Source organism: Homo sapiens, chromosome 4 (assembly GCF_000001405.40).
Source record: "Homo sapiens chromosome 4, GRCh38.p14 Primary Assembly".
Classification (NCBI taxonomy): domain Eukaryota; kingdom Metazoa; phylum Chordata; class Mammalia; order Primates; family Hominidae; genus Homo; species Homo sapiens.
The window spans coordinates 47553851-47576734 of record NC_000004.12 but is presented as its reverse complement, the minus strand read 5'-3'; the positions used below and the strand labels follow the sequence as shown (position 1 = coordinate 47576734).

At 39.2% G+C, this 22884-nt stretch overlaps 1 protein-coding gene across 1 annotated transcript in view, besides 1 other annotated feature; it reads right to left on the bottom strand.

The window, feature by feature from the left end:
* ATP10D (ATPase phospholipid transporting 10D (putative)) overlaps nucleotides 1-22884 on the bottom strand; it is a 108212-nt gene that overhangs the window by 16752 nt on the left and 68576 nt on the right. The window contains exons 11-18 of the mRNA NM_020453.4: nucleotides 21821-22009; nucleotides 18462-19071; nucleotides 17706-17812; nucleotides 15660-15786; nucleotides 12970-13154; nucleotides 7589-7898; nucleotides 4505-4581; nucleotides 3738-3863 (exon numbers count right to left, since the gene is read on the bottom strand). Coding sequence (NP_065186.3) covers nucleotides 3738-3863; nucleotides 4505-4581; nucleotides 7589-7898; nucleotides 12970-13154; nucleotides 15660-15786; nucleotides 17706-17812; nucleotides 18462-19071; nucleotides 21821-22009 — 1731 coding nt within the window. The remainder of the gene's footprint in view (nucleotides 1-3737; nucleotides 3864-4504; nucleotides 4582-7588; nucleotides 7899-12969; nucleotides 13155-15659; nucleotides 15787-17705; nucleotides 17813-18461; nucleotides 19072-21820; nucleotides 22010-22884) is intronic.
* Nucleotides 11303-11492: a silencer, noted in NCBI's record as "silent region_15400". NCBI's record gives its function as "represses an Ori minimal core promoter by ATAC-STARR-seq in GM12878 lymphoblastoid cells {active_cell/tissue: GM12878}" and the evidence as "EXISTENCE:reporter gene assay evidence [ECO:0000049][PMID:35858748]".

Here is a 22884-nt window from a genome sequence, read left to right as displayed (position 1 = left end):
GTAATGTGTGCTATGATTACACATTCCAAATGCTGCCATTTTGAGCTGGGTGACCTCAGCCTCTCTGTAGTTTTCTTATATAAGATAGGACCACAATTTACCTTGCAGCTTTTTTTGGTAAATATTTTATTAAATTAAAGTGCACACATGTATGTACACACACTCACACCCCACTTATTATGTGGTGCTAGCATTGTTCTAAGTGCTTTAGGAATAATTCATTTAATCATCATAACAACCTGGGAATTACATTGTTGTTGCCATTTTACAGGTCAGGAAATTAAGTGTAATTAACTGAATGTTAATTTAATTAAGTGTAATCAACTGAATGTTAATCCCAAAATTTATATGAAATCCTCTTGAAACAAAACTCCCTCTATCTAAGACCAATGTCCTTTCCTGTGGTCTGCCCTACTTGAGAGCACAGAGCACTATCCCCACTGTGACAGTGTTAGGAGGTGGTACCTTTGGGAGGTGATTAGGCCATGACATTGGAGACCTCATGAATGGAATCAGTTTCTTTATAAAAGGGACCCCACACTTTGGGAGGCCGAGGCGGGTGGATCACGAGGTCAGGAGATCGAGACCATCCCGGCTAAAACGGTGAAACCCCGTCACTACTAAAAATACAAAAAATTAGCCGGGCGTAGTGGCGGGCGCCTGTAGTCCCAGCTACTTGGGAGGCTGAGGCAGGAGAATGGCGTGAACCCGGGAGGCGGAGCTTGCAGTGAGCCGAGATCGCGCCACTGCACTCCAGCCTGGGCGACAGAGCGAGACTCCGTCTCAAAAAAAAAAAAAAAAAAAAAAAAAGGGACCCCAGTGAGCTCTCATCATCTCATCTCTTTTTATGTAAGGATATAATGAGAAATCTACAATCCAGAAGAAAACCCGCACCAGAACCTGACCATTCTGGTACCCTCATCTGGATTTCCAGCCTCCAGAATAGTGGGGAAGAAATGTTGTTTACAAGCCACCTGTCTGTGGTACTTTGTTACAGCAGCCTGAACAGACTAAGATACTGAGGCACAGAGAGACTAAGAAACTTGCCCAAAGCCACATGGCTAATAAGTAGCAGAACCAGTATTCAAACTGAAGGATTCAACACTAGATGAAGAGAATCTAGCCCAGTGCCTGGCACAGACATGGAGTAGGCACAGCACAAATGTCCATTTTCTTGCCTTCTGGGTTCATAAATACATAGCGGTGAAATGGAATGGTGCCAGCAGAGTGGTCAGCCATCCCAGCTTGCTTGGGACTGAGGGGTTTCCCAGGCCTTGGGATGCCCAGTGCTAAAACCGGGACACTCTCAGGAAAACCAGGATAGTTGGTGACCCTAGAGTCCAGGCACAGGCATTCTACATGGTTTCCTGTAGTATTTTGTCTCAGACAAACTAAGTTCACTATAAAAAGCTCTGTGCTCCCAAGGAGGGCAGGCCACAGGAAAGGACATTGGACTTAGAGAGAGTTTTGTCTCAAGGCTGGGGGATACTTCTAATTGATTCTTTGCCTTTAGGTCATTGCCCTAACCACCCTGAATTATTATTTCCTCCTCTGTAAAATGAGAGTTATACTACCTTAGGGCTTAGTATCAAGATCAAGTTAGAAAATGGTCATCATCGGCCGGATGCAGTGGCTTATGCCTGTAATCCCAGCACTTTGGGAGGCCAAGGTGGGCAGATCACTTGAGGTCAGGAGTTCAAGACCATCCTAGCCAACATGGTGAAATCCTGTCTCTCCCCCCGCAAAAAAAACCAAACCAAACAGAAATTAGCTAAGTATGGTGGCGCGTGCCTTTAGGCCCAGCTTCTCAGGAGGCTGAGGCGGGAGGTTAGCTTGACCTCGGGAGGCAGAGGTTGCAGTGAGCTGATATCATGCCACTGCACTCCAGCCTGGGGGACAGAGTGAGATCCTGTCTCAAAAATCAAACACACAAACAAGAAAGTAGTCATGATCTGTAAAGTGTCTCATTAAAAAAAAAAATTATTGTCATCATAGATACACTAGAACCTCAGGACAAGGGCCACAATCCTTAGACTAGATTTTGAATTTCTTGATCTCTTGACCTCGTGATCTATCTGCTTCGGCCTCCCAAAGTGCTGGGCTTACAGGCGTGAGCCACCGCACCTGGCCAGAATAGATTTTCTTAGTCTAGCATCTATGGACATGGATCAGGACCAGTTTCTGAAAATGTATTGTTTGTGGTTTGGGGTGCTATTCTGGGGGAATGAATCCATAGTCTTCACTGGCACCTCAAAGGTTGTCCAACATCCAAGAACCATGGTCTCAGAAAGATAAGCTACTCTAATGGCTTCTGGTCCAAGACCTTTGCATAGCACATAAAATATGCATTGTTTAGCTAGGTAAATAAGAGATATCAATTAAGTCTGGAGATTATCAGTATGAATGGCCACTCAAGGATTATAGAGCAGGAAGATCACCGAGGTCCTGATTCTGTCTACTAACCAACACTCCCTCTCTTCGAGAGTGTATACCATATCCTCCTAATACTAGTATTTCTTTACTGTTGGATTCAATCTGGAGTTAAAAGGAGGTGAGGAGGTGAATGGATATTGCCACAATAGGGGAGAAGGTGAACAAATGCAAAGGTTTAAAATAAAAACTTGGGAGAGGGGCTTCTCTTTAAAAGCCATTGACCACTAAGTTCTAGAATTGTAAATTACAAGCTGCAGTTTTCCCTAGAAGCACATACTCAGGCAGAGATTTTATACATTTCAAATATTTTCCTAAAGTATCTGAGTTTTACTGAACTTTGACTAACTGCACTAATTCTAATCAGTAAAGTCTTGAGAGATTCCTGAAAAGTGTACTGTGCTATAGGAAAAAAAAAAATGTTCCTACTGATGGACATACATGTGCACACAGAGTTCTAAATTACACATTTGGGATCTCCTAAAAATGGCTTTTTTTCCCCTAAAAATGGTATTTTAATAGAGTGACATCAACCCATGTCTACTACTAACATACTACATATGGACTTTAAAGACTAAGAGTGAATTTGGCCTAAAATTCATGATATTTACATAATTACCCCACTTAGAAGATACTTACGTCTGATTACGTATGATTTTATAAAAAAAGGAAACTGAAATTGAAATAGCAGGCTGAAGATTAGAGGCCTGGATTTCTAATCAAATTCTGCCCTTTTAGGAATTATAGAATCAAAATCTAGTTCCTTTATCATTAAATAACTACTGAGCACAAATACATTTTATAGGTTGGCTAGAGAATTCTTGCATCTGTGAGCAACAGCCAGCTACACGCTAAGACATACTAGGTTTTCATCTGTATCTGTGTCTTTATTATAACACATGGGGCATTAATTTGGAAGAGCTGATATTTTTTGGTATTTCCAGTAAAACGGATGCAAACCTTTTCTTTCTGTACTGACAGCATTAAACATTTCATAATTCTTCTTGTCACAGCCTTTTTTATGGAAGGTCAAAAACTGGATTTTAAATGAAACAGACAGGACTTAATTTAAATGCACAGGGAGTAGAAAATGTTAGCAGATGGACAAGCCTGGCAATTTGCTGTCAGCAGCTGAAACATAGCACATTCCCAGCTTAGTTCTGGAAAGACAGCAAGACCAGTCCTGGCTGTTCCCAATACATCAATAAGGAAAGTGAGCTTAGCATAGGACACTTCGTCTTCATCCCTGATGCAACAGTCTTGGAAGGTACGAAGGGAAAAGGGACAAATTCTCTGGGGTTACATACCACATTCTTATAGAAAAAATAGAGAATCATGTTGGAAAGCCGTGTATAACACCAGTGTCCATGGACAAGAAGGAGCTTGCTGAGATGTTTGAACTGAGAAACGGCAAAGTCACTGGCCATCACAGCCTGCAGATGCAATGGGGAGAGAATGCCATCCTGAGTGATCAAACATGTTAGAACAGACACAGCACAATTCTTGGGAAACCCTAGGCCTCATATTCTACCTTCTTCTGACCGCATTTGTTCCATACATGAATGAAAATCAGTTTTTTGGATTATGAGCTTTTATCTGAATTTTGTGCCTAAAATACCATCCAACACACACACACACACACACACACACACACACACACGTGCGCACAAATAGGACACTCCCACTTCCTTCCTTCTCCTCTCATTTCCTCTTCTTTCCCTTTTTTTCCCTCGGTCTCCTGCCTCAAGATCTTTAGGTCCTTCATTCAAATCCTTAGTAGCTTCTTCAGAGTCAGAATTTACGCAGCCATTGCAGGACTAAAATATATATTCCTGTGATTTTAGATAAGCTCTATTTTTAACAAGTGAATAATACAGCTAAAATTACCCAGGAAAATGCCATAATACTCACCTAGTAAAAAAAAATCAATGAATAGATAGGTAAACTTCCTGTCTCCCACTCCTCAGCTAGCCACACACAGCCTCACTCTGCCACAGAGAATTTACCATGGAGAATGCTGCCTTTGGATGGGCAGGTCAAGGCCACAGAACTTGGGTGCACAATATCCACTCACCTGCATGCCTTCTTGACCTGAGACCCCTATCCCAATGTCTGCCACTTGTATCATGCTAACATCATTGGCACCATCACCTTCATGAGGCAGAAAAAAAGGAGAGAAACATATGAGGAGTAAAGAAAGGGTGTAAATGTTGCAAATCAATAGGGGCAGCTCAAGTGAACAAATAAATCCTTCAAAGTTCATCCCGTTCTCCAAGTTTCCTGGAAGTAAGTGAAACAGAAATGAAGTGGCATCCCACTGCCATCAGGAAGAATTCCAAACTCAACACCGCTTTAAACTCCTTCACGCTATGGCACCTACCCAGACTGATCTTGTTTTTCATGTCATTCATGCTACTTTCAACTCTCCAGATACACCCTTCTCCCTGTAGCCACGCACATGATAACAACACTGTCCTGATCACCCCCAGCTCATTTTTCTGGATTTCAATTTTTCTTGCTCTCAGCTTAGATGTCATTTCCTCTGGGAAATCCTTCTCATACTTTTTTTAAAGATCAGATGCCCTTTCATAAGGCTTCAGCACCACCCTATGTATCTCTAGCACACCTATCACACAGTATCATGGTTGCATACAGACTTACTGGTCTCCCCCAACACAGGAAGCTTCTTAGGAGGAGGTACCACATTCCTGCTGGTAATGAACAACTGATCACCAACAATTCACCTGTTTTTCAGTAAAGGTATACTGGTTTTCCTTGGAAATTCTTAGTTTATGTGGTTTGTTAGGGTGAACCCAAACCTCCATATTTATAGGTAAGCAAGTGTCCCAGATCTGTACAATCAGCATCTTCTATTCCCTGGCCTCAGTAATTGGTTCAGAAATGGACATATGACTCCAATTAATTAATATTATTATAAGTTATAATATAATTGTTATATATTACATAATGCATGATATAAATTATAAGTATTATATATAATGTATATGATAAATATAATTATAATGTAATAAATTATAATATAATTATGTTATAATTATGTTATCTATAATTATAAATCCAGGAGTTTTTGCTTTGGAAACATCTGGATCCATAAGCTTGAATAATTCATTTATTTATCTGTTTATTCAACAAGATAATTGAACAAAATTCCACCTTAATCCTGAAACTTTACTGCAGCAATCTGAAAAGTGATGCTATCTTTTCACCCAAGTTGTTAATAGGATAGGATGGAAACCCAGGAGTTTTAGTGGCTACATCACCACCCTGAGGGGAAAATTTACCTGAGACTGGAAGCAGTCCAGAGGGAAAACAGACATAGAAAGAGAGAGCTGATATGCCAAGTCCTCAGTTTAACACTGGAGTCTCTGAGATCTTAATCTCATACTACAATTCTCTTCAGTTATACTCATTCTTTGGTGTCAAGGCTTTGATATCCACTAGACTCTTTTTTTCTTTTCTTTTATTTCTCTTTTTTTTTTTTGAGACAGAATCTTGCTCTGTCTCCTAGGCTGTAATTCAGTGGCATAATCTCAGCTCACTGCAACCTCCGCTTCCCGGGTGCAAGTGACTATTTGCCTCAGCTTCCCTAGCAGCTGGGATTACAGGATCCCACCACCAGGCCTGGCCAAGTTTCGTGTTTGTAGTAGAGGTGGAGTTTCACCATGTTGGCCAGGCTGATCTCGAACTCCTGACCTCAAGTGATCCACCCACCTCAGCCTCCCAAAGTGCTGGGATTACAGGCGTGAGCCACTGTACCTGGCCTGATACCCACTAGACTTCTGATTCTCAAATTTATATCTCTAGCCAATTTCTTATTCCTAAATTCCAGACTTTTATTCTCACTTCCTACCTGACATCACTGCTTAGATATTTAATGGCCTTTTCAAACTTCACATGAGTAAGACCCAATTCCCAATTTCCCCTGCCTCTATCTCAGTAAATGGCAGCTCTGTTCTTTCTGTTCTTAGACATAACTTTGGCGTTCCCTATGACAACTCTTTCTCTCATATAACATATCCAATATGCCAGCAAATGTCTCTGGGTCTTTTTTCAGACCATGCCCATTTTTCATCTGACCACGTCCCAACCCTTCCTTTGCTCCCAGCTGTGCCCAAGCTGCCATCATCTCTTGCTGAATTATTCCAACTGATTTCATATGTCTTTGCAGTCCAACAATTACTCTGACAGAACAGCCAACATGATCATTTTAAATTTAAGGCAAATCATGTCCCACTCCAGCTCAAAATCCTTCAATGGCTCCCTAATTTTATAATGTCCTCTAAGACCCTATGTGATCTGGCCCTCTGCTGCTTCTCTGGCCTTTAATAACCCGCAGAAAACACCTCCCTTTGCTTAATCGGCTTTGTCCTCCGACACACCAAACACGGTTCCCCTCATGGCTTTCATTTTCACTGTCTTCTCTTCCAGAAATGTTCTTCTCCATGTCTCCCATGGCCCCTTTATGATTTCCTTCACATCTCTGCTCACAGTCAACCTTAGCAGTGAGACCTTCTTTGAAAATCGTATTTAAAAGAGCAGCCCCAGCCCATCTCCAGTGCTCTACGTGTCCTCATTCCACTTTATTTTTTCAATAGTACTTATCACTACCTGATACCTTACAGATTTATGCTTTGTTTTACTGCATGCCTTCCTACTAGATGTAAGTTCCTTGTAAAAAGGTAGTTTGCCAATTTTATATACTCTTGTATCTCCATTCCTTAGAAAAATGCCTGGTACAAAAAAGGCACTTGATAAATACTTGTGGAATGGATAAAGAAATGAATTCTCATGTCCTTGAATTTAGCTTTCCTGAAGGTAGAACACATGGATTTTTCAGTTCTGTGATTCAGTTTATTACTTGATTTAAGCTTGTTGATTTGGGGGTCTGACACTGAACTAAGAAGTCTGGACTACTGTATTGTTTACCATGTCACATCCCTATTACCTGGTTCACAGAAGGTGCTCAAATAGGTGATGGAGGAAGGTGCTCAAATAGGTGATGGGAAGGCATGAATGTGGTAGAGAAAAAGGGAGGAGGAAAATGGAAGGAACAGTGGGAGAAGAAAGAGACAGAAGGATCGGTGTCTGGTGTGGTGTGAAAGGGAGAAGAGCAGGACTCAGATTCATCCTCACTCACCAATAGCAAGGGTCATCACCTGGAGATGGCTGCGGACCAATTTCACCACTTCACTTTTCTGCAGCGGTGTGGCTCGGCAGCAGACCACAGCTTGACACCAAGATGTCAGTTCCAGGAACTGCTTTTGCAGACTTTCTTGCAGGGCAAACTCCAGGGTCTTCCCAGTGATAATGAGTCCAGCTCGTAACCCTGAGTCCCGGGGGACAGGAGGCTGAAGTAAATCTTCACTTAATGACACTTGCTCTGGCAGGGCTTGAGTTTTCTTCTGAAGTTCTTTCAAAATTGTGCTCATCAGCATCCCACAGGCATCCTTGAAACAAGAGGCAAAGGTGGTTAGCCTCCAGGCGCCCTTGGTGTCAGAACCAGTTACATTTTTTATTGTCATTTTTTAGCAATTGCTGAATCAAGAAAACCTCAAATAATGAATAACTGATTATTTTCAAAGATTTTACGAGTCTTCCACAGAGAGTTCTGTGTGTATGTGGGGATGGGTTAAAAGGAGGGGGAACATCTCACCAGTATTTCTTATAAAGAAATAGCTGTGAAATTTCTTCATGTGTGCAATTTGCCTTCTTGAACAGTGAATCCCAAGAGTCCTCTGGTCTCATTCTGCCAATTATTAGCTGCTTGACCTTGGGCAAACTATGTAACCTCTCTAAGCCTTAACTTTCTCATTAAAAATATGCAAATATTATTTCCATCATAATCTTGTTGTGAGGATTAAGCAAAATAATACAGGCAAAACTCCTAGTGTAAGGCATGACACATGGCAGGCATTTGAAATAGTAATTATTGCTTTTATCTTCTTTTTGATTCAACGTATTCATTCACTCACTAACTATTTAATGAGAAACTATATATTAGAAAACATTCTAAGAGCTGGAGCTACACCAATAAACATGAAAATTCCTGCCCTCATGGCACTTGCATTCTGGCCAGGATGTTCTTTGTGGTACTTATCACGTCTCCTTTGCATACATCCTCACTCCACACTAGTTAGGAAGTTCTTTAAAGGCAGTTATCACTTTTAATTTACTTTTGAAGTCTTCATGAGGCTTAAAAGAGGATCACATCAGGTACTCAGTAAACATTCACTGAATGAATTCTACTCAAGAAGATGAACAATAAGCTTATCCAGAAATTACTGTGTCAAGTGATCACTAAGAACAAATTCCAAATCCAGAGCAGTGAATTTAAGTTTAGTTTATACACTAAGTCTGAAATAGTTTATTCGTGAAAGAGCTCTCACTCAAAGCTTGTTTGCTTTGATTTTAAATGCTGTTTTATCAAGCATTTCTCAACCTACAACAAAATAAGAAAAGCAAGGAAGAAGTAGATATGGACATGTGCACATGAAACAGCACAAAAACTATAAACACTCTTGTGGAGTGTTCACAGGGCTCCATTTTAGGAATGAATTTGATCCCATACACCTCCAAAGCCCTTAAGGCAAAGTATACAAAGATGAATCAGATATGCTCATACAGCTCATTACATCATAGTAAAAATTATTTTTAAAACTCTTTTGGAGTTTGGTTAAATTAAAATGGCACATTTAGAAAGTAACATGCCTCGCAATCATTGAAAACATTAACATCAGATTGTGTTTAAGGTATTGTAATTGAAAGAATACAGCTGCAATACCATACAATAACATAAATATAGTCTTTGTGGCACCAATATGCTTACAGTATACAGAATACAGTCTGTGTGGATATTCTCCAAAATATGATTTTAAATTGTAGTTTTATGATTATAAATTGATTATAAAGGGTTTTGTACTCTTCTATTTATTTGAGTATGTGTTTAGGTTTTACAAATTAACTATTTTTTTCATTATAAAAATAACAGAAGTATGCATACACACACACAGCTAATCTTCATTATCTGTGGATTCCACATTTGTGAATTCTCCTACTTGATAAAATTTATCTGTAATTTCACAATACTTGAGATGTTTTTGTGGTTACATGTCATAGAGTGACATTTGAGTGTCACATGCATAGAGTGACATTTAAGTCATGTGATATGCCCATTCCCAGCTGAAGCTGAACACCATGATGCCTTCTTTTGCCAGTTCTCAAACTGTAGCAAAGTCTTCTTTTCATGGGCTATTTGGTGCCATATTTTTTGCATCTTTCTGCTTTTTGTCAGTGATTTTGCTGTTTAAAATGACTCCCAATCATGGGCTGCAGTGTTTCCAAGCAAAAAAGGCTGTGATGTGTCCTATGGGGGGAACTTACCCATGTTAGATAAGCTTTGTTTGGGTATAAGTTACAGTCTGTTGGCAATGCATTTAACGTTAATGAATCATTAATATGCATATTAAATAAGGTACATTTCAGAAGAAACAAGGTCATGTATTGATTGTTGACAGTATGTTGTAATCAGAGGAAGCTAACTTTGTATCTCCTCTAAAAGCAGTGGTCAGTGTTTGCTAATTCAGAGCTCGGGGCAACTACATAAACTATAACTCTACAAATAAGGAGAATCAACTGTATATATGTAATATGTAATATATAATTAGAAAATATACTGTAATGGGAATCAGAAAATTTAAAGTTTAGTAATCAGCTGTACTTAGAGAAATCACAAGCATTTGGAGTCTCAGGTTATAAAACAGATAATTTATCTTCTATGTCTATTTGTTGTAATTGTCAAATGAGATCAGGTATGGAAAGCCTTTTTGTAGATTCTAATATAAATTATGAAGATAGAAAGTTACCAATCTGAGGAGAAAAATTTAAATGAAATTACAAAAATAAAACTTAAAAAATTAAATGACCAATCCTGAAAGGCCTTTGTATATTCCAATGCAGTAACTAGTTACAAACAGGATATGACTATATTAAAACAAATGAAGAAAAAAAACTTTTATGAGAGTAAAAGGTAAAGTTTGCAACTGGCAACACTTATAATCTAATTTGTAAATTGAAGAACAACGTTGATGGAAATTTGTAAAGATGACACAAAAGTAACTTCAGACATTCCACTGGCTGCCACATTGCCTGCTTAGAATGTTATAGGAGCAATTCCTTCACTAAGTGACACACTGGGCTCCATGATCTTCAAGTCCTTTTAAACTCTTAGTGATTCCTGAGGGACTAGGAGTGGGAGGTGGAAAGAAAAGAGTTAAATACTAGTGACTGAGCCCATACTATGTGCCTGGCTTTTTATCTTGAGTTGTGATAAAACTAAATTATGTTTGTTGTATTCTGTTTAGTTATTTGGAAAATTCACACATGTGGAATAGCTATCGATAGCAAAAAAATTATAGGTACTCAGTAAATACTTCTTGAATCGATAGTTTTAAATGCCTTTAAACATAAGATAAATTGTGTATTTATAAATAATTTTTTTATTTATATAAATTTAAGGGTATAAGTGTAATTTTTTTATATGGATATATTGCATTATAAATGAATTTCACAGTCCTAAAGATTTTACTGTTCACAACAATCTCTATTTTTCTTTTTTAATGCTTACTGAACCCCTCTCATCTGATAGGCACCGCATTAAACAATTTATATTTTTTCATTTAATGCTCACAAAAACCCCATTAAACAGTCATTACTCTCCCATTATGAGTAAAGAAAAAGCGGCACAGGAGGGTAAGTAACTCCCTAAGGCCACATACTCAGTCAGCGGCAGGCCAAGCATTTGATCCCTAGTCTTACCAGCCACCTAGGCTACATTCTTTTGGTGACTGAAATGACTAAGCATTTTCTTCTGTTCTGCCCCCTGCAGCTACTGGGAGTTGGCTGGTGGTTGTGGTTATGGGTCACTGGGCCACCGTAAAGGGGAACCCACTCTATTTTTCCCTTTTCTCAAAATGTACCATTTAGCTGAGTGCTGGTTGAGGTCTGACCATAAAAACATGCTAACCAGGCCGGGCGCGGTGGCTCACGCCTGTAATCCCAGCACTTTGGGAGGCCGAGGCGGGCGGATCACGAGGTCAGGAGGTCGAGACCATCCTGGCTAACACGGTGAAACCCCGTCTCTACTAAAAATACACAAAAAATTAGCCGGGCGTGGTGTCGGGAGCCTGTAGTCCCAGCTACTCGGGAGGCTGAGGCAGGAGAATGGCGTGAACCCGGGAGGCGGAGCTTGCAGTGAGCCGAGATCGCGCCATAGCGCTCCAGCCTGGGCTGCCTCAAAACAAACAAACAAACAAACAAATAAACAAACGAAAACATGTTAACCAATCATGGCAGCCTTGAGCAGGCAAAGCTCAAGAAGTGATCCTGAAGAAAAGCTCCACAAGATTTCAAAGAAGGCAGACTGCAGTGATGGGATTGATATCACTGGTTAAGTCTGACTGCTGAAGAAGAATGGGAGGAAGTTTTTCAAGAAAAATAAACAATGTGCACAAATCTTGGAGGGGATCACTATACTGGAAGGCTTCTGAGAAAAATAAAACCCTTATTTATCTGATTAAACATTGGTGTTAGAGATTAGCGGGAGGCAAAAATAGAAAAAACTGGGCTGAGTCTAAGCCTCCTAAATTTCCTTCTTTTTTAAAAAATGACATTTTCCTCTTCCCTTAAACAGTTCTTCAAACTTATGATATTCTCGGGAGCACTACCTAGGAATTACCACAAGAGGGCACGATTTCCCTGAGTCTATTTTTAGAATTGCCATAAAATATTTAATAATTTATTCACCTGATTTCAATAAAAACTATCACTTTTTCTTATCTTAAAAGGGAGGTAGATTCCTGTACCAGGACTTGATATATTTTCTCATTTTGGGCTAAGTCCTGTCAGATCCCTGGTAATCCAGTGTGGAGGGGGGAAAGCAAATAAAAAAAAAAAACTTTCTTCTAATGCCTTTATTCAGCAATGATTCCTCTGAATCATTATAATTTTCCATCAGGCCTTTAGAAGAATAGACATCCTTCCAAGCACAAGGTAGGTTTCTGGATAGAAAAAATTATCAAGAAGCTAATGGTTGCTGGCCAGGGCACAGTGGCTCACCCCGTAATCCCAGCACTTTGGGAGGCCAAAGCTGGCGGATCACTTGAGGTCAAGAGTTCAAGATCAGCCTGGCCAACAAGGTGAAACCCCGTCTCTACTAAAAATACAAAAATTAGCCAGGCGTGGTGGCAGATGCCTGTAATCCCAGCTACTTGAGAGGCTGAAGCAGAATTGCTTGAATCTGGGAGGTGGAGGTTGCAGTGAGCCAAGATATTGCACCACTGCACTCCAGCCTGGGTGACAGAGCAAGATTCCGTCTCAAAAAAACCAAAACAAACAAACAAACAACAAAAAAAGCTAACGGTTGCTGTTTTGTTTTTTTTTTAATCCTTGCATACATCAAATCTCAAATGTTCCAATGCCTTTGAAAATACAGAAGAACAGATTTAATCTCAATATACGCACTTTACTTTGGGTATTGAGGATAAAAAGCTTGTCATCTGGCTCCAGTAGTTTGCATGCATAAGCTATGTTGACAGCTGTCTCCTGCTTGTCCCCTGTCAGCATCCAGATCTTGATGCCCGCTTTGTGAAGAGCTTCTATAGATTCAGGGACTCCCTCCTGCAGACGGTCTTCAATGCCAGTAGCACCTAAAAAATAACCAAAGTGCAATAGGACTTGTAAGAAACCAAAGCCAGCTGAAGCTCAGCTAGTCTACAGTTGAATCATATCTGTTAGCCAACTCAACCCTACACTACATAAACTGCCCAGCTGCTCAGGAGAGTCAAAGGAGGTTTGACGACCCAGACCAAAATTATATGCAATGTAATATTTTGGGAAGGAAGCCTCAGGGATCAATGGATTTATCAAACTTACTCGTTCTCCTTTTGGCTAGATTTCTTATCTGTAAATTGAAGGGATTTGAGTCAATTATTTATGCAACCTTACACTACAATTTTATAATTCTATGATATTCCCAAGGATAAGGGTGGGATTTTATTTTTATTATTATAGACTTAGGGGGCACAAACGCAGTTTTGTTACACTGATATATTGTGTAGGGGTGAAATCTGGGCTCTCAGTGTAACCATCATGCAAATAGTGTAAATTGTACCTGTTAGGTAATTTCTCATCCCTTGCTCCCCGACCTATCCTCCCACTTTTCTGAGTCTCCAATGTCTACTATTTCATTTTCCATGTCCATGTGTACATGTTATTTAGCTCTCACTTATAAGTGAGAACGTGTGGTACTTGACTTTCTGTTTCTGGGTTATTTCACTTAAGATAATGGCATCCAGTTTCATCCATGTTGCTGCAAAAGACACAATTTCATTCTTTTTTATGGCTGAGTGGGATTCCATTGTGTATATATGTGTGTGTGTGTGTATATATATATATTATATCACATTTTCTTTAATCGTTTGTTGGTGGACACTTAGAAATCTGATTCTGTGACTTTGCTATTGTGAACAGTGCTGTGATAAGCCTATGATTGCAGGTACTTTTTTGATATAATGATTTCTTTTCCTTTGGGTAGATACCCAGTAGTGGGATTGTTGGATTGAACGGTAATTCCATTTTCAGTTCTTTGAGAATCTCCACACTGTTTTCCATAGAGGTTGTACTAATTTACATTCCAACCAGCAGTATATAAGCGTTCCCTTTTCTCTGCATCCTTGCCAACATCTGTTGTCTTCTGACGTTTTAACAGACATTCTGACTGGTGTAAGATGGTATCTCATTGTGGTTTTAATTTGCATTTGTCTGCATCTGATAACTAGTGATGTTGAGCATTTTTTCATGTTTGTTGGCCACTTGTTGTTGTCTTCTTTAGAAAAATGTCTGTTCATGTCCTTTAAAGGGCAGGCTTTTAAAGAATGCTCCTGCCAGTAAGATACAATGTCTATTTGCAGTGTTCTTTCATGGGTCTACAGTTCCCTTTTCTGAAACAATTGGGGCCATATGTGTTTTGGAATTCAAACATTTTTCAGATATTAAAAAAGTAATATGGTGCATATACCATATTCTATAATACTTGTTAATCAAGCATATTAATATTTCTGCAGGAAAACTGACAAATGTTCACCTAAATTAGGATAATAACTATAAATAGTCTTATATCAAATCAGGTATGATTTTTCTGCCAAATGAGTTTTGGCACTAAACCCATGGAGCATTTTTGATTTTGGAATCACAGATGAGGAAATGTGGACCTATACTACTTACACTGTCACAGAGAAATCACTTAGGGTAGGCATCATTGCTCTATTTGCTAGATACTAAGTTAGGTCAATGTTTTCCTCCTAAATAGAGGAATGGAGCTCAGAAGCTGGTATCTTGGTATATCAGAGCTTATATTAGAATCTAGATCTCCAGACTCTAAGACAGTGGTTCTCAAACTTGACCGCCTTTAGCATCACTTTAGGGAGCTTTAAAAAATTCCAATGCCCAAGCCACACAACAGATCACTTGAATCAGAATCTCAGGGGATAGGATGCAGGCATCAATATTTTTTAAAGTGCTTCAGATAATTCTAAGATGCAGTTTAATCCAAGACAAGAGGGGTCAGTTGTGCAATTTTAGTTGAAATCAGGAAGAGAAGAAAAATAAATTTCCTTAGTCCAGTAGCAGGTGCAGGATAAAAAGCTTGGAGCCAGGCAAACATGAGCTCCATGTTTGGTTAATGAGTAACTGTCAGCTACTGGCATGTGACCTTGAACAAGTCATTGAACTGCTCTGTGCCCCAAATTTCCTCTACATAAGATAGAGATTTGTTGTGAGAATTCAAAAAAAAGATAACACGTATTAAGCACCTTATCCAATGCCTGACAAGAAACTCTATTCTTGATATTTATCTTGATTTGAACCAAGATATTTATTGGAACATTTACTTGGCTTTGTAGTCTATGTTAAGTGTTGGATTTTACATGATCTTCTTGGGGTGACCATCCTGACCCCATCACAAGTGAAGTCTAGTTCACTGCAGTGGACAACAGAATAGAATGGATTGGAAGTTGGATAGAGATCAGACTGGACAGGGTAGGCAGAACCATATATGTTTATTAGATAACAATGGAAGAAAATAACCCTTATTCAAAGATATCCAGTGTTTTTCAAAATCCTCCATTCAGGCAATACAAACATAATTCACCTACCAAGTAATGTAAGTTTGTTCTCCAACCTCATGGCAGATTCAAGTAGTAATTCTTCCCTGTTGTCAATGCTGGTTTCAGCTAAAAAATGATTCCTCAGCCACTCTGCATATTCAGTGTCACTCATGACCTACGGGAAGAATTAAAAGAGAGGTATGAAGCAAGCCATATGATCTTGTGGGAATACCAGGACTGACCTCTGGCAAAATATCAAACCATCAACTTGTTTTACATATTCCTCCCTCTGGGCACAGCCATGTCAGATCCATATCCTCACACCACCTGGACACTAGCTTCCCAAACTCTGTGGTCAGACTAGTGCAACACTGATGATGGATGACCCTTTAACTCAGCATCTCTGGAAATTCTAGGCACCATATATGATGACAGTGGGTTAATGTCTTTAATTAAATCAGAAAGTATGCAGTTGGGAGTGGTCTCCAATTGACAGTTAAATCCAGTTTGATTCTAATGGTGCAGTTGAGAAAGTGGTATCAGGACTGTTTAGTTCGAAGGATTCTGTAACCAGCAGCACCTTTCATACCTTTTGATGTTTTTTTTGTTTGTTTGTTTTGTTTTGTTTTTGTTTTTGAGACAGAGTCTCGCTCTGGCCCAGGCTGGAGTGCAGTGGCCTGATCTCGGCTCACTACAAGCTCCGCCTCCCAGGTTCACGCCATTCTCCTTTGATGGTTATTTTATGTGGTTAATGAATGGTAAAAAGAGAAGGGCCCTATGGGTGAAACAAGTCTTATTCCAAAGAAAAATTGAATGAAATTCCTGGGGAAGTGATCAATAATATATTTTCCTTTGTCTTTAGGTTGCCATAGAAAGAGAAATCTACATTTCAGTTTTTATAAAGCAGAGTGGAGTAAAGCAGGTGAGGCAATTCCCCTCTCTGCCTACTTATTCTTGGCCACAGGTCATTCGATTTGAGAGAATCTGACACCTGTTGGGCTACATTTTAATCAAGGGTAGGATCATTCAATTGAAAAGGCAGAGTTGGTTTGATCTTGAACTCTCCATTCTTCCTTTAACTGTGTGTGGGGCAGGCTTTTTGTTTTTGGTTTTGTTTTTGTTTTGAGATGGAGTTTTGCTCTGTCGTCCAGGCTGGAGTGCAGTGGCGCAATCTCAGTTCACTGCAACCTCTGCCTCCCAGGTTCAAGCAATTCTCCTGTCTCAGCCTCCTGAGTAGCTGGGATTACAGGCATGCACCACCAGATCCGGCTAATTTTTGTGTTTTTAGTAGAGACGGGGTTTCACCATGTTAGCCAGGCTGATCTTGAACTCCTGACCTCAGGTGATCCACCTGCCTCAGCCTCCTGATTACAGGCGTGAGCTACTGTGCCCAGCCATCAGACTTTTGATTCCTTATGCAGCTGGTTGACTGAGTTCCTTGGGGTCTACAACAGATCCCACTTTCCCTAATGCAGCTCCCATGAACTAAACCTTGGGTAAGAAATGAAAAGTTCCGGTGAGAACATCTCTCAAATAATTTATTGGAGCTCCATCTTCTTTCTTGCTAAACTTTTGTTTAGAAAGGATATGCATTCTCAATAAAGAATAATCAATACTGAGATAATATCTAGGATATTTACCTGGATTTACATATAAATACTTACGGGCACATAAGAAAAGAGTATTAAGAGCTTATTATGAAAAAATTAAGGCTCATCTGTGCCCTCATTCTTTCCAAAGCAGATTTAATGCTGTAAGACAGAGAGATCAACATTTTCAAAGTCCTGGGGGAAAGAAAGTAAGATCCAGAGATTTTTATTCCCAGCCAAACAACTGTTTACATATAAAGTCACTCACGGACATATTGAAACATACAAGAACTTAGAGACTATAAGTTTTAGGGATCCTTGTAGCAAAATACTTTGAACAAACTTCAACCAACCAATATATGGAATAGAGAAGGTAAAAAGAGAGCCAGTGTCCAGGGGACTTTCCCCAGCATCTGGATTAGGGTTTGCTACACGCTGGTTTTCAGTCAGTGATAGCTAAACAAGGGAAAAAACAAAAAAGATGGAGCGCACTAAGCAGTCTCACCTTCTTTGCTATACATAAAGTACGAAGGCCTTGTTTGGCATAGTCATCCAAGTGCTTCTGGGTTTTCTCCCTTACTATCATCTGTTGTTTCTCCAGACTTGCTCCATCTGAAATAATGGACAAGATGCTTGAGTTCCTACCAGTCTGCCAAATTACAGAAATACTTTTTAAAACAATAGTAGTTTTATCCACACTAAAAAAACAAATAAAAAAGCCTTCTGGTTTTGAATCCCAAATGGGTATCTGTAAAAGGGACCACTCAGAATAAATCTTTCCCTCGTTTCTTTCCCCTTGGGCAGAGGAAAGTACAAGAACCTGATACAAACACTGTTCCCAAATCATCAATAACAACAGTAACATAACTATAATGCTGCTAGCTGACATTTATTGGGCACTTTCCATTTGCTAGGCACTTGGCCAAAGGCTCTTCATACATTGCATATAGTATGTCATTAAACCTTTCAGGAACCTATAAAGGAGGTACTCTAAGACCCATTGAGTTGAAGACTTAGGCACAGAATAGTTAGCTAACTTTATCAAGACCCACCTAATGATGGAGTTCACATTTGAACTCAGATCTGGGTAGCCCCAAAACTTACTTGCTTTCCCATCAAATCCTAGGCAGCTTCCCCCTACTTCACCAAATGTGATTAGTCCCCAGATAGCTGTTTCTTTGCCTTTATAAAGCCATCAAGTATGGTCTTTTAATCTCCGAGCTTTTCAAATCACTACTATTTCACTTTTGTATAAACTTACCTGGGGAAGCCACCGACAGTAACTCCATGATCACAGAATCAGCGCCTTTCGTATACACCACAACTTGATTGGAAAGAGGGTGTCGGACCACAACAGACATTCTTTTTCTTACTGAGTCAAAGGGCAGGATGTGTAGGAGTTGAAATGTTAATGGTCCCAAAGCAGCAAAGTCCACCATGACCTGCTCTGGTGTCCGAGACCGTAAAGTGCATTGGTAAGCCCTGGCGGCATACACTAAGGCCGCTTCGTCTGGGCTCTCGGCCTCATAACACAGGTTGCAGGCCAATGGCTGTCCAGGGAGGGACTCTGCCTTGCCATTCAGGAGGCCTGCATCACCGTGTTGTTTCTCTGTTTCTGTGCAGCAAGCTGAGCTACTGGAGCACTGGGGGCTCTCACACACCTGGGAGACCTCTTCCTCCACAGGTGAAGCTGGTTTCATTCGACTAAAGAGAGGGAGTCTGCTCACAAAGGCGTTTGGAACTCCAGAAGATGGCTCTTTCCCACTGTTAAGCGATGGAGAACTTGATCTTCGGACAGACCATCTCTGGAAAAGACTTTTAATCTCTTCCAAAGACTTAATGGGCAACCCCCCCAGTGAAGGGTGTCTGATCTATGAAAGACAATTTAGAAAGGTCTCAATACAGTCAAAAGCAGTTTCTAACAACTTTGAAGGCAAACTGGAAATAAATTAGATATAAAAAGAGTTACCACTCACTTAAATGGCTAGCAGCCCATTCTCTATTTACGACCGCCATGGAAAATATTAATACAAATAAAAATTTGTTTTTTAATAACTATTCAGATAATTTGATTTTTATTAATATTTTTAATATTTATGTAATACTTTGCTAATATTTTAATAATATTAAAATGAATGACATACATTTCTACAACCATTTAGAAAGAAATTTGACAACTGATAATAAAAGACATAAAATGTTAATATTGCTAGCAGTGGGCATCCTTCAGCAATTTTTTTTCTAAAGAAATAACTTGAAATACAGGAATTCCATGATCTTATCTGTGTGTATCCTAACCATAACAATTTTAAAATTATAAGCAAATTAAGTATTCAGTAACAGCAAAATAGACACATCTTGAAATGTTATATAATATTTAAAAATGAAGCTTATAAAGTCTATAGGGCAATACTGAAAAAGCTATGAGACTAGTATAAAAAAAGTAACAAGTAATAATATACATAACAAAAACACCAGAAGAAAGCAAATCAAAAGATTAACAAAATGTATTTTTCTCTTTTATTTTCCAGATTCTACAAGTTTGTTACTTTGAATTTTCTTTTAAATGGACCAGTAAGCAAAGTAGCTTCATCAAGAAGAGTTATCAATATCATAATGTGGATTTGAATTTCTATTTTCATAGAACTTTTTCTTATTTGTACCCTGGTTTCTCTTAAATCTTAACTTTTATCAGTGACTAAACTGAGAAATTCACATTAATCATGGAAGGCCAATTAATTGGATGGAAAAATTTTCTCATTCAGAAATGCTCAATAAATGAAAAAGTTTTCCCCTAAAAATAACTAATTTTATAATAATTTGAAGGTCTTATGCTGGTTGATTTTCAAACTTATCAGCAACTCAGAAATGAAGAGTAAAACACAATCACAGATGAGGTTTCTGTATCTCACATGAATGCTGATTAGCTACTTATTCACTGCCCTTCTATCATTACTTTGAAATACCATGAGGCTTAGACTCTTATATGCTTCAGAGATTTTCTTTCAAGCAGTAGAATATTATATTCTTTAAGAATAACCAATAATATTTCTTAAAAGGAAAACACCAAAAGATGCTTACTTTGGGAACAGATTTATTAGAAAAATATTTTTTGGGGAAAAGAACAGCCTTTATTCTGTAACTGCATAATCACGTTTTCAAAGAGCAACTTCCTAGGCAAAGCCTTGTAAAAATACAGATCCTGATGAAGCTCAACTTAATTGGAAGGAAATTGTTTTTATGTTAAAGTTGACCACCTCTGAAGCTGCCAAAAGAAAATGATCTGATGGAAAATTAAATTGAATTGGGTTGTGCTGCAAATTGAATTTTAAGTGAGTAAAAGGTGAGAGAGTTACACACAAGGAGGCTAGCACAGCAAATGGTGAATCACCAGCCCGTTAAACAAGTTTTCCTCCGCATTGAAAATGAATTTTCCATGAATTCTAAGCTACAAATAGACTTTAAAAATCTAGCTTTTTTTGGTCAGGTGTGGTGGCTCATGCCTGTAATCCCAGCACTCTGGGAGGCCAAGGCAGGTGGATCGCCTGAGGTCAGGAGTTTGAGACCAGCCTGGCCAACATGGTGAAACCCTGTCTCTACTAAAACTACAAAAATTAGCCAGGCGTGGTTGTGGGTGCCTATAATCCCAGCAACTCAGGAGGCTGAGGCAGAAGAATTGCTTGAACCTGGGAGGTGGAGGGTGCAGTGAGCTGAGATCACGCCACTGCGCTCCAGCCTGGGAGACAGGGTAAGACTGTCTCCAAGAAAAAAAAAAAGGAAGAAAAAAATATTATTAAACATGATATTGAATCCAATACGGTATATTTTGCCTGATATAATACATACGATGTTGGAGGTCTCAGAAGTCTCAAAGAAAGCTTCAATTTGGCACATAAACTAAAGCAAAATGAATTGCTCTCATCACTACCCTCTTAGAGGCAAATAATATAGTAGCACCGAGCTGTATTTCCTAGGTTCAAATCCCACCTCCCCAACAAACCAGTTTTGTGACCCTGGGTAAATTACTTAGCCTCATCTGTAAAATGGAGAATAGTAGGGTAATAGCTTCTAACTCATAGGATTGTTAGGAGGATTCAACTTGTTAATACCAATAAATCACTTAGACCAGCGGTCCTCAACCTTTTTGGCACCAGGGACCAGTTTTGTGAAGACAATTTTCCACAGACGGGTTGGGTGGGACCTCAGATCATCAGGTATTAGATTCTCTGGGTATTAGATTCTCATACGGAGGGCACAACCTAGATCCCTTGCATATGCAGTTCATAATAGGGTTCGCGTTCCTATGAGAATCTAATGCTGCCCCTGATCTGACAGGAGGCGGGGCTCAGGCAGTAATGCTCACTGGCCCTCTCCTCCCCTCCTGCTGTGCAGACTGGTTCCTAACAGGCCACAGACTGTTACCGGTCTGCAACCAAGGGGGTTGGGGACCCATGACATAGACCATGGTAAGTGCAGAGCACAGAACAAATGCTGAATCAGTGTTATACAGCTACTATTATTTATCATTTTTATCCATATATCAAGCTCAGTACAGATACATTTAAACCCAAAATTCTCTTCTGGAAAGTGACCCTTGTTTGCATTAGAGAACTTACTCACCTTTTGTCGGGGTTGGTTAGGAGCAGAAACCACTACTGTGTTGCAAATTGCCAATGCAATGAAAAAGTCGATAATGTACAAAGTTTCCATTGGTGGATTTTGGATGGTCTCATCTAGTGGCATAAAGAGCCGAGGTGTAATCTGACTAAATTTGTCTAAAAGCCTGGTGTCTGGTACCACGTCTGTTTCCTGAAGATCCAATAAGACAGTGTGTTGTTATAAGAAGTATATAAAAATTAGTTTTAAATCAACATGAGAAATAACTTGTATAGCCAGGATCTAAATGAATCATGAGATGGTAAACTTTATTTTTCTAAAAACAATTGTAATGTATATCGTGTCATGGGAAGTGAGAATAGGAAAATAAAAGATATAAAAACAAATGGATAATCCAGAATGCACCTCATCAATGGAGACTCTCTTAACTATTAAACTAAACAGGAGTTTAGTTTTCACCAAATCTAGTTGAGTGTTTTCTCATTTTGAAATACATAATAGCAGAGGTAGATTTTATTGAGCCCAGAATTCTACCTCGGTCATAGATTTATTCACCATCACTTGATGAATACTAACTCTTAAACTTTGGGCATTATTCATACCATGTTATTGAAACAAAGTATTTTATGGTTCAAGTTACTGCTATTGTAAAAAACAACTCTCCAAAAATAAAAATGATTATAAGCAGGCTAACATATTTTATCAGCATTTTCAAGTAATACAAGACATTAATAAGGGTTCTTCCAGATTTCTGATCACCACATACATTTGGCAACTATACTTTCTTCTCAGTACAGGTTTGCTCTAAGAAGTTGTTATTGAAAAAATGTACTCCATTTTGTTTGACACAATGCTTCTCACACGTGAGAGTACGAGTTTTGACAAAATAATGTTGTAGTAGAAATCTAAGTATAATCCAGTAACATATAGTTAACTGCTTTAGAAATTTTTCAGCTGAGTCAAAGGAGGAACCACATGCTCAAAATCAAGGTTGTACAAAAGCACCATTGTATTCTAAGAGTCCTAGAGGCAGCTGGCCTGCAAAGCACAGTGACTGCAGGAAAGCC